The sequence below is a fragment of the Homo sapiens genome, chromosome 1 (genome assembly GCF_000001405.40).
Source record: "Homo sapiens chromosome 1, GRCh38.p14 Primary Assembly".
In the NCBI taxonomy this organism is placed as follows: domain Eukaryota; kingdom Metazoa; phylum Chordata; class Mammalia; order Primates; family Hominidae; genus Homo; species Homo sapiens.
The window spans coordinates 33185347-33201211 of record NC_000001.11 but is presented as its reverse complement, the minus strand read 5'-3'; the positions used below and the strand labels follow the sequence as shown (position 1 = coordinate 33201211).

The window sequence follows — 15865 nt, the reverse complement described above, 5'->3', positions numbered from 1 at the left end:
GGTGTTGGAATCTCCTACTATCATTGTGGCTTTGTCTCTTTTTCCTTGCAGTTCGTTCTATCAGTTTTTGCTTCATGCATGTATTAGTTTGCTAGGGCTGCCATAATACAGCACTATAGACAATGTGGCTTAAACAAAAAAAAAATTATTTCCTCACAGATATGGAGGCCAGAAATCCAAGATTAAGATTTCAGCAGGGTTGATGTCTTCTGAGGCCTCTCTCCTTGTCTTGTAGATGACGGTCTTCTCCCTGTGTCTTCACATCATATTCCCTCTGTACCTTGTCTGTGTCCAAATTCTCTCTTCTTACAAAGACACCAGTCATAGTAGATTAGGGCCCACCCTAATTTAACCTGATTATCTCTTTAAATATCCTATCTCCAAATATAGTCACATTGGAGGTTAGGACTTTATGATTTTGGAAAGGGTACACAATTTAGCCCATAACAATGTATTTCAAAGCTCCCTTATTAGTTGCTTAGGACTTCTATGTTCTCCTGATTAATTGACCCCCTTTTCTTTGTGAAATAACTCACTTTATCTCTAATAATAACCTTTACTCTGAAATCTACTTCATTTTGATTGGCTATGATGTGATATATATTTTTCCATCCTTTTACTTTTAACCTGTTTGTATCTTATATTTAAAGTGGATGTCTTATAAGTAACATATAGCTGTGCCTTGCTTTTTTATTCAGTCTGAAAATCTATACTTTTTAATTGGAGTATTTAAATCTTTTACATTAATGTAATTCTTGATATGGTTGAGTTTGAATTCTGGCTATCTGACTTCTGTTTGTCCTATTTCAATTTTTTCTTCCATTTTTTCTCTTTTTCTGCCTTTTTTGGATTGAGTATTTTTTCTTCTCTTTCTTTTTTAAGAGACAGGGTTTCACTCTGTCACCTGGGCTGGAGTGCAGTGGCACAATCATAGCTCATTGTAATGTAACCTCTAACTCCTGGGCTCAAGTGATCCTTCCACCTTAGCTTCTTGCCTAAGGTATTTTGTCACAGCAGCAGGAATAGATAAGACAACAGCCTACCTTCAAGTGATAGTACACCACCTCACAAACAGAATATGACCCTTATAACAGTACACTTCCACTTAGCCCCTCCTGGACTTTGTGCTATTGTTGTCAGATATTTTACTGGTTTTTTTGTTTTGTTTTGTTTTGTTTGTTTGTTTTGTTTTGTTTTTGAGATGGAGTTTTGCTCTGTTGCCCAGGCTGGAGTGCAGTGGCGCCATCTTATCTCACGGCAACGTCTGCCTCCCAGGTTCAAGCAATTCTCCTGCCTCAGCCTCCCGAGTAGCTGGGATTACAGGCACCTGCTATCACACCTGGCTAATTTTTGTATTTTTAGTAGAGATGGGGTTTCCCCATGCCAGGATGGTCTCAAACTCCCAACCTCAGGTGATCCACCTGCCTCAGCCTCCCAAAGTGCTGGGATTACAGGCATGAGCCATCATGCCCGGCCTAGATATTTTACTTTTACTTATAACCCCACAGTAACAATGCATTGTTATTGCTTTTGCTCTAAATTGTTGATTATCTTTAAAGGGATTTAAATAATTTTTAAAAGGCATTATTTTTTACCCACATAATTGCCATTTCCAGTACTTTTCATTTCTTTACATAGATCCAGATTTCCATCTTGTATCATTTTCTTTCTGCTTGAATAACTTCCTTTAACATTTCTTGTAAGTACAGGTCTGCTGGTGATAAATTCTTTCAGTTTTTGTATTTCCAAGAAAGTATTTATTTCCCCTTCATTTTTGAAATATATTTTCAATGGGTGTAGAATTCTAGCTTGGTAGATTTTTCCTTTCAGTACTTTAAAGATGTTGTTCCACTATCTCTTAGTTTGCATTGTTTATAATAAAAAAAAATCTACTGTCATTCTTTGTTCCTCTGTGTAATGTTTCTTCTTCCTTTAGCGGTTTTTAAGATTCTCTCATTTTAACTTGTTTTGAGCAATTTGATTGTGATGTGCCTTGGTGTATTTTTTCTTTATGTTTCTTGTGTTTAGGTTTGTTGAGTTTCATGGTTATGTGAGTTTATAGTTTTCATCAAATTTGGAAATTTTTCAGATGTTTCTTCAATTTTTTTCTTTTCTTCCCTTCTCTCCTTAAGGGACTCCAAATATACATATGTTAGGCTGCTTTAAATTATCCCATGACTCACTGATGCTCTTTTTATTTGTTTTTGTCTTTTTTCTTTCTGTGTTTTATTTTGGATAGCTTCTATTGCTGTATCTTCAAGTTTACAAATCTGTTCTTCTGCAGTGTCAAAACTGCCATTAATCTCATCCAGTATATTTTTCACTTCAAACATTGTGATTTTCATGTTTGGATGTTTGATTTGAGTATTTTTAAAATATCTTCTATTATTCTGTTTAACATGTTTAATCTTTCTTCTGGCTTTTTGAACATATGGAATTCAGTTACAATTGGTGTTTTAAAGTCTTTGCCTCCTAATTCTATCATGTGTCACTTCTGGGTCAGTTTTGATTGATTGACGATTGACTTTTCTCTTTTTAAATTTTTGATACAGGATCTTGCTCTGTTGCCCAGGCTGGAGTATAGTGGCATGATCATGGTTCACATCAGCCTCAACCTCCCAGGCTCAAGTGATCCTCCCACCTCAGCCTCCTAAGTAGCTGAAACTAGAGGCGTGCATCACCATACTCAGCTAATTTTTGTATTTTTTGCAGAGATGGGGTTTTGCCATGTTGTCCAGGCTGGTCTCCAAACTCCTGAGCTCAAACAATCTGCCCACCTTGGCCTTACAAAGTGCTGGGATTACAGGCATGAGCCACCATGCCCAGCTTTGACTTTTCTCTTCTTTTTTATTTTTGTTTTTTAAATTTAATAGAGATAGCATCTCACTGTGTTGCCCAGGTTGGTCTTGAACTACTGGGCTCAAATACCCTGGTCTCCCAAAGTGCTAGGATTTAGGATTTATAGGCATGAGCCACCACACTTGGCCGACTTTTCTCTTCTTTATACATAGTATTTTTCTGCACTTTCACTTGCCTGGTAATTTTTTATTGGATGCTAGACATTGTAAATTTTACTTTTTGGGGGGCTCTGGATAATTTTTATATGCCTATAAATATTCTTTAGCTTTGTTCTTAATGTAGTTAAGTTACTCTGAGATAATTTGATCCTTTCAGGTCTTACTTTCAACATTCTTGGCAGAACCCCAGTAGCATTTAGTCAAGAGTTAAATTCCCTTGTTACTGAGGCAAAACCCTTCTGAGTGCTCTACACAGTGCCTCAAGAGTTATGAGATTTTTCTACTGTGGCCGGTGGGAAGATCACTATTCCTGACTATATGTGAACTCTGAGAATGTTTTTCTCTACTCTTTTTGTAAAGTTCTTTCCCAAGGCTTGGGTCATTTCCTCACATGCACATGATCAGTACTCAGTACTATGAAGTGCTCTCCTTTCTGGGACTCTGCCCGGCAAACTCTAGCTTCCTTGGCTTCCTTGGCCTCTCAGCTCTGTCTCCTCCTCTCAGAAAGACCTCCAGGGTTAGCCTGGGTTCCCTCCCCCGTACTGTGGCCTGGAAACTCTTTCTAGGCAGTAAGGTTGGAAACTGTTTAGCTCACCTTGCTTGTTTCCCAGAGATTGCTCCCCTTTTTGCCTAATGTCCAATGCCTTGAGAACCATCGTTTCATATATAGTTATGCACTGCATAACGACTTTTGATCAATGATGGACGCATATGTGACAGTGGTCCCAAAAGATTACAATGGAGCTGAAAAATTCCTATCCCCTAGTGATGCCATAGCCATCTGTATTAGTCAGGGTTCTCCAGAGAGACAGAACTAATAGGATATATGTATATATATGAAAGGGAGTTTATTAGGGAGGATTGGCTCACACGATTACAAGGCAAAGTCCCACAATAGGCTGTCTGCAAACTGGGGAGGAGAGAAGCCAGTAGTGGCTCAGTCTGAGTCTGACAGCCTCAAAACAAGGGAAGCCAACAGTGCAGCCTTCAGTCAATGGCTGAAGGCCCAAGATCCCCCAGCAAGCCACTGGTGCAAGACCCAGAATCCAAAGACCAAAGAACCTGGACTCTGATGTCCAAGAGCAGGAGGAGCAGAAGAAAGCATCCAGCACAGAAGAAAGAAGGAAGCCAGACAACTCAGCAAGCTAGGATATCCCACCTTCTTTCACCTGCTTTGTTCTAGCTGGCAGCCCATTGGATGGCACCCACCCACATTGAGGGTGGGTCTTCCTCTCCCAGTCCACCAACTCAAATGTAAATCTCTGGCAACATACTCACAGGCACACCCAGAAACAGTACTTTGCCAGCCATCTAGGCATCCTTCAATCCAATCAAATTGACACCTAATATTAACCATCAAAATGTCATAGTGCAATATATTACTCACATGTTTGTAGTGATGCTGGTGTAAATGGCCTACTGCACTGCCAGTCATATAAAAGTCTAGCACATACAATTATGTACAGTACATAATACTTGATAATTATAATAAACAGCTGTTACTGGTTTATGTATACTATGCTATAATTTTTATCATTATTTTAAAGTGTACTCCTTCTACTTATTAAAAGAAAAAAAAGTTAACTGCAAAACAACCTCTGGCAGGTCCTTCAGGAGGTATTCCAGAAGAAGACATTGTTAGCATAGGACATGACAGCTCCATGCATGTTATTACCCCTGATAACCTTCCAGTGGGGCGAGATGTGGACTTGGAAGACAGTGATATCAATGATCTTGACCCTGTGTGGGCCTAGGCTAATGCATATGTTTGTGTCTTTGTTTTTTATTTGTTTGTTTGCTTGTTTGTTTGTTTTTGAGATGGAGCCTTGCTCTGTCACCCAGGCTGGAGTGCAATGGAGCAATCTTGGCTCACTGCAACCTCTGTCTCCCAGGTTCAAGCAATTCTCCTGTCTCAGCCTCCCAAGTAGCTGGGATTACAGGCGCCTGCCACCATGCCCGGCTAATTTTTGTATTTTTAGTAGAGACAGGGTTTCACCATGTTGGCCAGGCTGGTCTCGAACTCCTGACCTCAAGCAATCCACCTGACTCGGCCTCCCAAAGTGTTGGGATTACAGGTGTGGACCACTGCACCCAGCCTGTGTCTTTGGTTTTAACAAAGAAGTTTAAAAAGTAAAACCTAAGAATAATAATTTAAAAAATACAAAAAGGCTTATAGAATAAGGATATAAAGAAAATATTTTAGTACAGCTGTACAACGTGTACATGTTTTAAGCTAAGTGTTATTACAGAAGAGCCCAAAAGTTTTTAAAAGTTTAAAAAGTTTATAAAGTAAAAAAGTTACAGAAAGCTAAGGTTAATTTATTATCGAAGAAAGAAAATTTTTTTATAAATTTAGTGTAGCCATAGTGTACAGTGTTTATGAAGTCTACAGAATTATGCATAATGTCCTACAACTTCACATTCACTCACCACCCACTCACTGACTCACCGAGAGCAACTTCCAGTCCTGCAAGCTTCACTTGTGGTAAGTGCCCTATAGAAATATACCATACTTTAATCTTTTATGCCATATTTTTAGTCTGCCTTTTCTATGTTTAGATATGTTTAAACACAAATACTTACCATTGTGTTACAATTGCCAACAGTATTCAATACAGTAACATCCTGTACAGGAGCCTAGGAGCAACAGGCTCTACATGTAGCCCAGGTGTGTAGTAGGCTATGACATCCAGGTTTGTGTAAGTATCCTCTATGATGTTTCAGTAAGGACAAAAAACACCTAAAGGTGCATTTCTCAGAATACATCCTCATCATTAAATAATTATCAATAATAACTGTTTTGTCCAGTTTTATTTGTTGTTCCAGGTGAAAAGGTAAATCTGGTTCTTATTCTTCCATTTTGATTGGAAGATTCTTCCCCTCTGAGCTGAATTTTTTTCTTGCTAAAGTCCACCCTTCATAAATTCTTTGAGCAAAAGTCTGAGATTAGTTAAACCTCAGTCTGTATATATCTGAAAATGTCTTTATTTTGCATTCATCCTTAAATGCTGGTTAACTGAATGTAGAATTTGTTTTTCTGATCACTTCAAAGGTATTAGTCCACTGGCATCTATTGTTGCTGATGAGAAATTGGCTTCAGGCAGAACATCATTCATTTGTGGATGTTTCATTTCTGATGGCTTTTCAGATTTTTTTATTTTTATTGTTTTTCAGTCTCTTCAATATGTCTAGAAATGAAATTTTTTATTCTACTCAGAACTCAATGTGCCTTTTCATTCCAGAGGCTCATTTTTCTTTGCTTGTAGAAAATCCTTCATCATTATTTCTTAGAATGGTGCTTCTTCTCCCCTATTTCCTCCTTGTAGAACTACTAATCTAGTATAAATTTTGGAACTTCTCATTTTCTCCTCTATGATTTTTATCTTTCATATTTTCCATTACTCTATAATACTGAGCACTCTCTATGTGCCAAGAACTATAAACTCATTTAATCCTCATAGCAACACCATGAGGTAGGTACATTATAGTATATTATAACATTATAACATTATAGTATATCTCCATTTTATAGATGAGAAAATTGATACACAAAAGGCTTAAAAACATACCTGAATCTCTATTGCTATTAATAGTAAGTATCAGAGATTTAATACCAGGTGTGCGGCTTCAGACCCCATGTATTTTTTTTTTTTTTTTTTTTTGAGACAGGGTCACACACTCGTCACCCAGGCTGGAGTGCAGTGGTGCAATCTCTTTGCAGCCTCGACTTCCCAAGCTCAGGTGATTCTCCCACCTCAGCCTCCCAAGTAGCTGGAACTACAGATATGTGCCACCATGCCCGGCTAATTTTTTGTATTTTTAGTAGAGATGGGGTTTTGCCATTTTGCCCAGGCTGGTCTCCAACTCCTGGGCTTAAGCAATCCACCAGCCTCAGCCTCCCAAATTGCTGGGATTACGGGTGTGAGCCACCGTGCCCAGCCCACTGCACTAATATTCCATACTATTATAATTTCATCTCTTTGTGCTGCTTTCTGTGCTGCCTTCTGGGTAATTTCTTCAGATCAATTTGAGTGTACTAATTCTCTCTCTCCATCTGTGTCTAATCTACTCTTTAAAACATCTATTGCATTTTTAATAGTTCATTTTTGCTATTTCTATTTGCTTCTTTTTTCATAAGCTCTTCTTCTTGCCTTATGTCTTCGATTCCTAATTTTATCTCATTTAAACATACTTACATTAAAATTTCTCAGGTTGTTCTATAATCCTAATTTTTGGCGTATGCACCACTAAGATCTCCCTTCAAGAAAGAACTTGCTCTTCAGCCACACAAGTGCAGTTGGCTGACTACCTCAAGCTGTTAGTACCGTTACTGCCTTCAAGATATGCCTCCGTTTTTTAGTTAAGGCTATGCTCTTCTTCGGCAGTCCCTAAGCAATAACTTTATGAACATGGCAGGTGTACTATAGTCTTGCTATTTCTGCTCAACAAGGGACTTTCTCTAACAGGCGGTATTTGTTCTATAATCCCCCTTTGTGTTAGCCAAGACTTTATCACATTTGCGTCCCATCTAAGGCTCTCTGCCCAATCTTGATTCTCCCCATTTTGTCTTTTACAGGCATTACCCCTCAATAAACCCCTTGCACTCCTAATCCCGTCTCTGCATTTACTTTCTGGAGGACCCAACTAAAACAGCATGTGAATTATCCAGGTTATTTCATCTTCTGACTTTCTTTCCTAGCAATCCTTTTCCTCTCATACTTTGTAATGTTTTTTACCATGAGATTATCTTCAGTGGGAGTTGTTTTCTATAGAAGTCCTGTGTGCCCTGCATTGTGGAGGAGAATCACAGGTAGTTTCACAAGAAGATCCATTAGTTTAACCAGTTCCAAGACAAACTTTATGTCAATTTCTTAGCTAGGGTTCCCCCAAACATCACTGCCACCATCACACAGTTAATGCAAACATGTGAACTTAATTCTCACACCCATACTAATGCAGATTGTGATTACAATTGCTTCCAGGTGACTCTTTCCTAGCTCTTTTCTAGCTCCACCTGAGCTTTTGAGCTCAGCTATATATTTTTTAATGTACTTTTTATATTTTACCTAGCATTTCTATTTATTTAGCGTAAGAGATAAAAGGAACTTCTTTTCTTTCTACAGTACCCCATAGTCAATGAAAGTAAACCCTGGAACCTGCATATATATGCGTATATATATATATATATATGTGTGTGTGTGTGTGTGTGTGTGTGGAGAGAGAGACATATATATACGTATATATTTCTATATAATTTATGTTCTTGGTCATACTATCTATTTTTTAACTTTTTATTTTGGAATAATTATACATTCATAGGAAGCTGCAGAAGACTCCCGAATACACTTCACTCAGTTCCCTTCATTCAGGGAATGTACTCAGGAATCTGCATTTTAGCAGGTAATCAGAGGACTCAGATGTAGGTGCAGGTTGTTGCAGATGCTATCAGTTCCCCATCCATATCCCTTGGACCTTTCCTACCAACTGTTAGCAACCACTCTTAACCAATGACTCTCAGCATTGGTATATAAATACCCTGGTTCCCTTACCCTTCATATGCGTTATTTCTGAGTCATGTTTTGCACCATTTCCCAGAGTCTCCCTGCTAAATTAACCGTTAATAAACCACTGTGGTAGCACTCTTATTGTCTGCCTTCCTTTTCTTTATCAATTCCCACTTCTCTACCCAAATAGTCACTTTCCAAATAAGCTAATTTAACTCAAATCTTTGTGTGGCGGTCTGTATCTGGTCTTCTAAGCTCAGATCAGAAGTGGTCTTAGATCCCAAGGATGGAATCTAGGATTGTAAAATTTGTCGGCCAATGGTAATAAGATTCCATTATTGATGGTCTTTAATATATTGTAGAGGCCTAGGATGAATTGGGGGACAAGATACAGATACAAGGGGATACAACCATTTATGAAGTCTCTCTAACATCTGAGAGATGTGGAGGCAATGGTAGTTAAAGAACTGGTGGAGTTTGTTGGTTGTTGTTAAGTACCATTGAAGTGCTAAAGGAGGAAAATGATAGGGTCAAATTAGTCAATTACCAGCCCAGGGGATGGTATGAAACCTAGAAAGCCACTATGACAGCATTTTAAAATCCCCTAATTTCCTACAGCTGGAGGGCAGATAGGTCTGAAAACCACATCCAGAACCTAATGATGAAAGTAGTAGAAGTGTCCCACTCCCGTTTGCTAGAGGATAATAGGCTTCCTCCTCTTGCCTGGAAACTATGCAGAGGCCTCCCCTAAGGCAGATGCCTTGCAAGATGATACTTGCCCTCTTCAAGATCTGCTTCTACATTCTCTTGCGTCTTCTAGGTCAATCACTAGGGTTAAATCTCATCACTCAACCATTGAGGAGGTACTATCTCTGCTTAAAGAAACAGGATTTTGGCCAGGCTTATGCCTGTAATCCCAGCACTTTGGGAGGTTGAGGCAGGTGAATCACCTGAGGTCAGGAGTTCAGGACCAGCCTGGCCAATATGGTGAAACCCCATCTCTTCTAAAAATACAAAAATTAGCCAGGTGTGGTGGTGCACACCTGTAGTCCCAGCTACTTGGGAGGCTGAGACAGGAGAATCACTTGAACCTGGGAGGCAGTGGTTGCAGTGAACCAAGATCGTGCCATTGCCTGCCTGGGGGACACAGCGAGACTCCATCTCAAAAAACAAAAACAAAAACAAAAACAAAAACAAAAAAAAGGATGTTTACTAAAAGAACTGCAGGACCTGCCTAATAGATACCAATAAAAAGCTGGAAGATGTGCCTGCTTTGGGAAGGGAAGGAACATAGGAAGAAGGGAAATGGAACATAGGGATGGAGAAGAGAAGAGTTGTTGATAAGGACGAAGTCTCCTGAGCTTCTGCACTTACCATCCTGGCAAGAACACTTGGAGCTGGGATGGTTCAGAGGACAAAAGGATCAGTGTCCAATCAGGAGGTAGAAACTACACCACTAATTTAAATAGAGATCTAATGTAGTGTATTCTTAAGTAGGTATAAAATTATTAAGTAGGTAACTGCAAAGGTAAAAAGAGAATGCTAAGTTGTCACAAAGATAGCAATGACAAAAGCAGATACCATGCCCACGGCTGGTGAAACAAAATAAGAAGTGGAATTATCAAAATTTAGAAGCTTACAAGAGAAGTTCCAAGAAACCAAAACTCAGATCTCTGAGGAGGAACACCAAAGTGTTGGAAACTGGTGCTAGGAAGTGTTGGGAAACTGCAAACTGGATTCAGCTGCTGCTAAGGAAAGATGCTGCTGATGCCAGGGTGAAGAAGCGTTGCTAGGGTGATGCTCACAGGAACAGGAAGCTGACAGGAAGTCAATAGGAAGAAGCAAGTCCCTCCTTCCTGATGCTGCGACATCAATTCCCTCCTGCCCTCCTCATTGGCAGGCATAACAGGGAGCAACTGGCAATGCTGGAATGTGAATTTCTGAACCCCAGCCCCAGCACTACACAAGTTGATACAGAAGGGTGGTTGTGGCGCTAAGAGGTGACAGCTTAACTACTGACAAGAGTTACAATAAACAATGTAGAAATGTGTGAACTGACATAACTGGAGAAAGGAGTCAAAAGTTCAGAGGAGAAATGTATTGCCTAAAACCAAAAGACCACCAGCTTAGTAGCTTAGTATGTTTCCAGTACACCTTCACTGGAGCAATAAAGAATGAGCTCCTGAAGGGGCACTGACATCATTGAGCAACTCAGTGGTGGCTGCCCCTTCTATATTGTGTTGTAGCTGCTAGGGAACTGGAGTTCCTACTGTTTCTTAATGGTGACAATAGGATTCCAGAACAGCAGAGGCCAGGTAGCAGCACTTAACCATCAGACACATAGTGTATGGAATTACCATAATGGGCAGCAAAGTCAGAAACTCAACCAAGGGGCCCTTACCCACAGAGATCTGTGGGATTGCTAATAGACCCTGAAGTTCCTAAGGGCGAGATCAGTGGGTGACTAGCAAGGGTATTGCTGCCCAATATAATAAAAACAGATCAAGAGCATGTAATGTGAAGACTGAGGTGAGCCATCACAGTGGAAAATCACTATCCCTCACCCATTTTTCATGCTTAAGCTAGTCCTCAGACCCAGTACCACAGTAACTGTACACAGGAGAACAAAAATATCCAGATATTTCTATAGTTGGGGAATTCAGAGTCCGGACTGACACTGATTCCAGGGGATCCAAATTGCCACTATAGCCCTCCTGTTAAAGTAAGGAGATATGGAGGCAAGATGATAAATGGAGTCTTTGCCAAAGCCCATTTTACAGTGAGTCCAGTGGGTCTTCACACCCTCCTGTGACTATTTTCCCCATCCCTGAATACTTAATTGGGATTAGTAAACTCAGCAGGCAGTAGAAACCTCACATCGGTTTCTTAATCTGTAAAGAAACTGGTGAGGGTCACCCAAAGCAGAGGTGACAACAGTATGTGTATATATATATATGTGTATGTGTGTATGTATATATATACGTATATATGTGTATATATATATACGTATATATATACATATATATATATATATATATATATATATATATATATATGCTGGAATGTGAATTTCTGAACCCCAGCCCCAGCACTACACAAGTTGATACAGAAGTGTGGTTGCGGCGCTAAGAGGCAACAGCTTAACAACTGACAAGAGTTACAATAAACGATGTAGAATATATATATATGGGGGATCAACTGATTATATAGCCAGAGTTTCCCATTGTAAGTTGTGTACTGTCAGATCCACCCAACTGTATAGTCGAGTATGTGCAACAGTAATCCATTGAAGGGTGGACATGGAACGTTGTCATGAACTAGGCCTGAGCAGGACCAGAGGTCACAAATAAACTACAGAAGCAGGCCCAGAATCCCCTGTTGTGATCCCTGCATTGGAACCTCTCCCCTCAGCTCACACTTATGAAATCATGAGAGATTCCTGATGACCAGGTGACAGAGGAGGAAAAAGCTTAGGCCTGGTTTATGGACAGGTTGGCACAATAGGTTGGTGGAAAACAAAAGTGCACTCTTACTGCACTACAGTCCCACTCAAGGGCTCCTGAAGAACAGCCATGTGGAGAATTTTTTGCAGGGGCAGAACTTTAGGCGGTGCATTGAGTCATCAACTTGGTGCAGAAAGAGTCGTGGCCTGAGGTCAGGAATCCCAGGCAGTAGTGAACAGTTCAGCTGATTGCTCAGGGACTCGTGAAGAGCAAGACTGCAAAATTGCAGTTAAGGAGGTCTGGGGAAGAAGCATGTGGATTGATCTTTGAGAGAAGACACAAAAATATGTGGGTCTCTGTCTCATTTCATTGTCTACCAGAGGGTGTCCATCGCAGAGAAGGTGCTGAACAATCAGTTAGATAGGATGATTCATCCAGTGGAAATGAGCTTATCTCTCTCCTTAGCTGCCCCAGAGCATGCACAACAGACCCATAACTGAGAAGCCATGGTAAGAGGGATGGAAGCCACGCATGGCCCAACAGCATGGGCTTCCTCTGGCCGAGGCTGACCTAGGTATTACTACTAAGTGTCCAATCTGTCAAAGCACAGGCAGGGCTGAGCTCTTGACATGGTACCACCCCTCAAGGAGGGCACCCAGCCACATGGTGCCAGTTGATTACACTGGACCCAACCACCCTGGAGGTGCTGTGACTCTTCTATGACTTCATGGGACTGATACAGATTTGCCTTCTCTGTCCACAATGTCATGATCAGCAGCACTCTCTCAGAGTTCCCAGGGTGTGCAGTTTATCATCAAAGCATTCCCCCATAACATGGCCATGGAGAAAGTGAGCACATGACCATGTTATTCACTGGTCCTGCTATTTACCATACCAACCAGGGCTGCATCCTGAGAAAATGCTGGAATAACCACTTGAAGGCATAGCTAAGTCATCAGCTTGAAGATAGGGTTGAGAACCTGTCCTTACATGTTTGTTTGTTTGTTTGTTTGTTTTGAGATGAAGTCTCATTCTGTTGCCCAGGCTGGAGTGCAGTGGCACAATCTCTTACTTCAACCTCTGCCTCCTGGGTTCAAGGGATTCTCTTGCCTCAGCCTCCCGAGTAGCTGGGATTACAGGCACCCGCCACCACCCCCGGCTAATTTTTGTATTTTTAGTAGAGACGGGGTTTCACCATGTTGGTCAGGCTGGTCTCAAACTCCTGACTTCGTGATCTGCCCGTCTCGGCCTCCCAAAGTGCTGGGATTACAGGCGTGAGCCATCACACCCTGCCTCCCTTACATGTATTTCTATACTTGAGACAATAGCTATTGTAAGGGTGCTACATCCCCAACAGTCAGAATACATAGGTCTGGAAGCCAAGAAATGAGTGGCCTCTCTCACCTTTATTCCCAATGACCCACTTGGCAAATTTATGCTTTCTATTGCCAAAGCTTTAGGCTCTGTTGAACCAGAGATCCTAGTTCTCAGAGGGTAGGGAGAGATCACTTCTACCAGAGGACATAATTGTGGTTTTACTAAACCTAAAATTATATCTGCCTCTGGTAATTTTGGGATCCTCATGACAGCAGACCAGCAAGCTAAGAAAGGAGATTCTGAACAGGCAGGAGTAAGTGACCCCTGCTGGACCAGGTGAGGGGCATCTAGAAAGGGTAGTAGAGTCGGAAGCTGAGCATCAGTTACACTTTAGGACCAACTACAGCAGTGGGGTCTGGAGATTGTCCCTCCTCTTATCTGTTATCCTTTCTACCTCTTCCTCTTCCTTCTTCTCCTCTCTTCTTGTAACAAATCGTGACTTTCCACCACCCAAAGAAGCAGTGACAGAACATGAAACTTAATATGAATGCAAGTTTATCTGAGCAGGTGCAAGGGTGAACTGTGACACATACTGTCAATGCCCTGCCATTGTCCCTCAAACCTGTCAATGTATTCCCAAGACTTCCAACTGCCAGCATCCACATGGTAGCTAAGGGATCATTTTCCCAGAACTACAGAGAGCTGACTGTACACATCACAGTTCACAAGTGCCAAAGAATTAAACACCACCAGGGAGCAGCCTCAACACTCAAACATGGTGTATAAATACCCCAGCTCCCTCACCCTTTGGGTGGGATGCTTCTGAGGCATCGATCATTCTGAGGTTTTGTACCATTTCCCAGAGTTTCCCTGCAGGATAAATCTTCAGTTCCCCTTTGTGATAATAGTGCACCCTTATGGGGCTGCCTTCCCTTCCCTGTATCACCTTCCCACTTCCCTATTAGTGTTACTTATGCTCCCCAAATAAACTATTTTCACTTTAGTCCTTATCTTAAGGTCAGTTCTTGGAAGAACCCATGCTAAGACACATGTGGCTCAAGGACTATGCATTGAGAAGCACTAATTTAGAGAGTGAACTCATTTCTTTTTTTTTTTTTTTTTTTTGAGACGGAGTCTCGCTCTGTCGCCCAGGCTGGAGTGCAGTGGCGGGATCTTGGCTCACTGCAACCTCCACTTCCTGGGTTCAGGTGATTCTCGTGCCTCAACCTCACAAGTAGCTGGAATTACAAGCACCCGCCACCACGCCCAGCTAATTTTTGTTTTTTAGTAGAGATGGGGGTTTCACCATGTTGGCCAGGCTGGTCTCAAACTCCTGACCTCAGGTGATCCTCCTGCCTTAGCCTCCCAAAATGCTGGGATTACAGGAGTGAGCCACTGGACCCAGCCACAACTTTGTTTTATGTGTGTTTCTGCTTAGAGACCCTTATTTAATATATAAATTGTTGATTCACTAGCACTGAACTCACAGCCAACACTACTGTAACTCATGTCTGAACAAAGCTTATCAAGCACACGTATTTTCTCCTTAAGGCACATCACAGCCTTCTTGTGCTTGAGAACACCAGAGAGCACTTCAGCACAATGCTTGGGGCCATTTTAAATAGCAAAATCACCAACAAAAAGGCACAAAAAATGAGAACGGTTCGCACCAAATAAGTCACAAAAAGAATACTTGTTTACACTATGACAGCTGAGACAAGAAGGCAGGGTGTCCCTTTGTTCACCTTCAGCTGGGAACATATGTGTGGGTAAGTCAAGATTTTCACCACTGCACATAAGTATGTCCACAAATAATAGCAATTGTGCCTCAAGTATTGATTTGAAGGTTACAAATAAATTTTAGAAGTAGGTGATTTTGCAAATATGGAATCCATAAATAATGAGGATCAATTTTCTTTATTTTTTCTGATTACAAAAATATATATAATAAACAGAGCTATCTAATGTAAAAGTTAAAGTCCCCCATAATCCCAGCCCACAAAAGAACACAATTAGAATATAGTTCTATAGAATTTTTGTTATGCAAATAATGCCTGTGATTGTGTCTAAGTCTGTGGGTGTCTATGTGTCAGTGTATTTGGGTCTTTCTTTTCTTTTTCTCACTCAACAATAGCTCTTGGATAGCTTTCCAGAAAAAAAAATTCCTGATGTTAATTTCTGGAGTATGAATGGAAGCAGATGGCATACACTGCAGTCAGGATCTCTAAGTCTTAGTTCAGACCACTCAACCACATCAGATGTGGAGAGAGCAATGACTTGCCAAATGTAAAGATAATCAACAGTTTTAGTGTTCTGCATCTTAATGGAGATGGAATAAGGTCAAGAGAAGAACTGCTCAGAGGATAAAAGGACTGAACACTGGGAAGTAAAGTGAAAGAGAAGAGACTGGGTCGGGCACGGTGGCTCACACCTATAATCCCAGCACTCTGGGAGGCCAAGGCAGGCAGATCACTTGAGGTCAGGAGTTTGAGACCAGCCTGGCCAACATGGTGAAACCCCCTCTCTACTAAAAATACAAAAATTAGCTTGGCGTGGTGGCGGGCACCTGTAATCCCAGCTACTC

General features: G+C 41.0%; 1 protein-coding gene across 1 annotated transcript in view, besides 1 other annotated feature; it reads right to left on the bottom strand.

The window, feature by feature from the left end:
• Positions 1-15865, bottom strand: part of ZNF362 (zinc finger protein 362) — a 173198-nt gene that overhangs the window by 99508 nt on the left and 57825 nt on the right. The window lies entirely within an intron of this gene.
• Positions 8863-9032: an enhancer, noted in NCBI's record as "experimental_7054 CRE fragment used in MPRA reporter constructs". NCBI's record gives its function as "activates a minimal promoter by MPRAs in K562 erythroleukemia cells, with activity observed for both the introgressed and non-introgressed 1:33657866 variant alleles {active_cell/tissue: K562}" and the evidence as "EXISTENCE:reporter gene assay evidence [ECO:0000049][PMID:34662402]".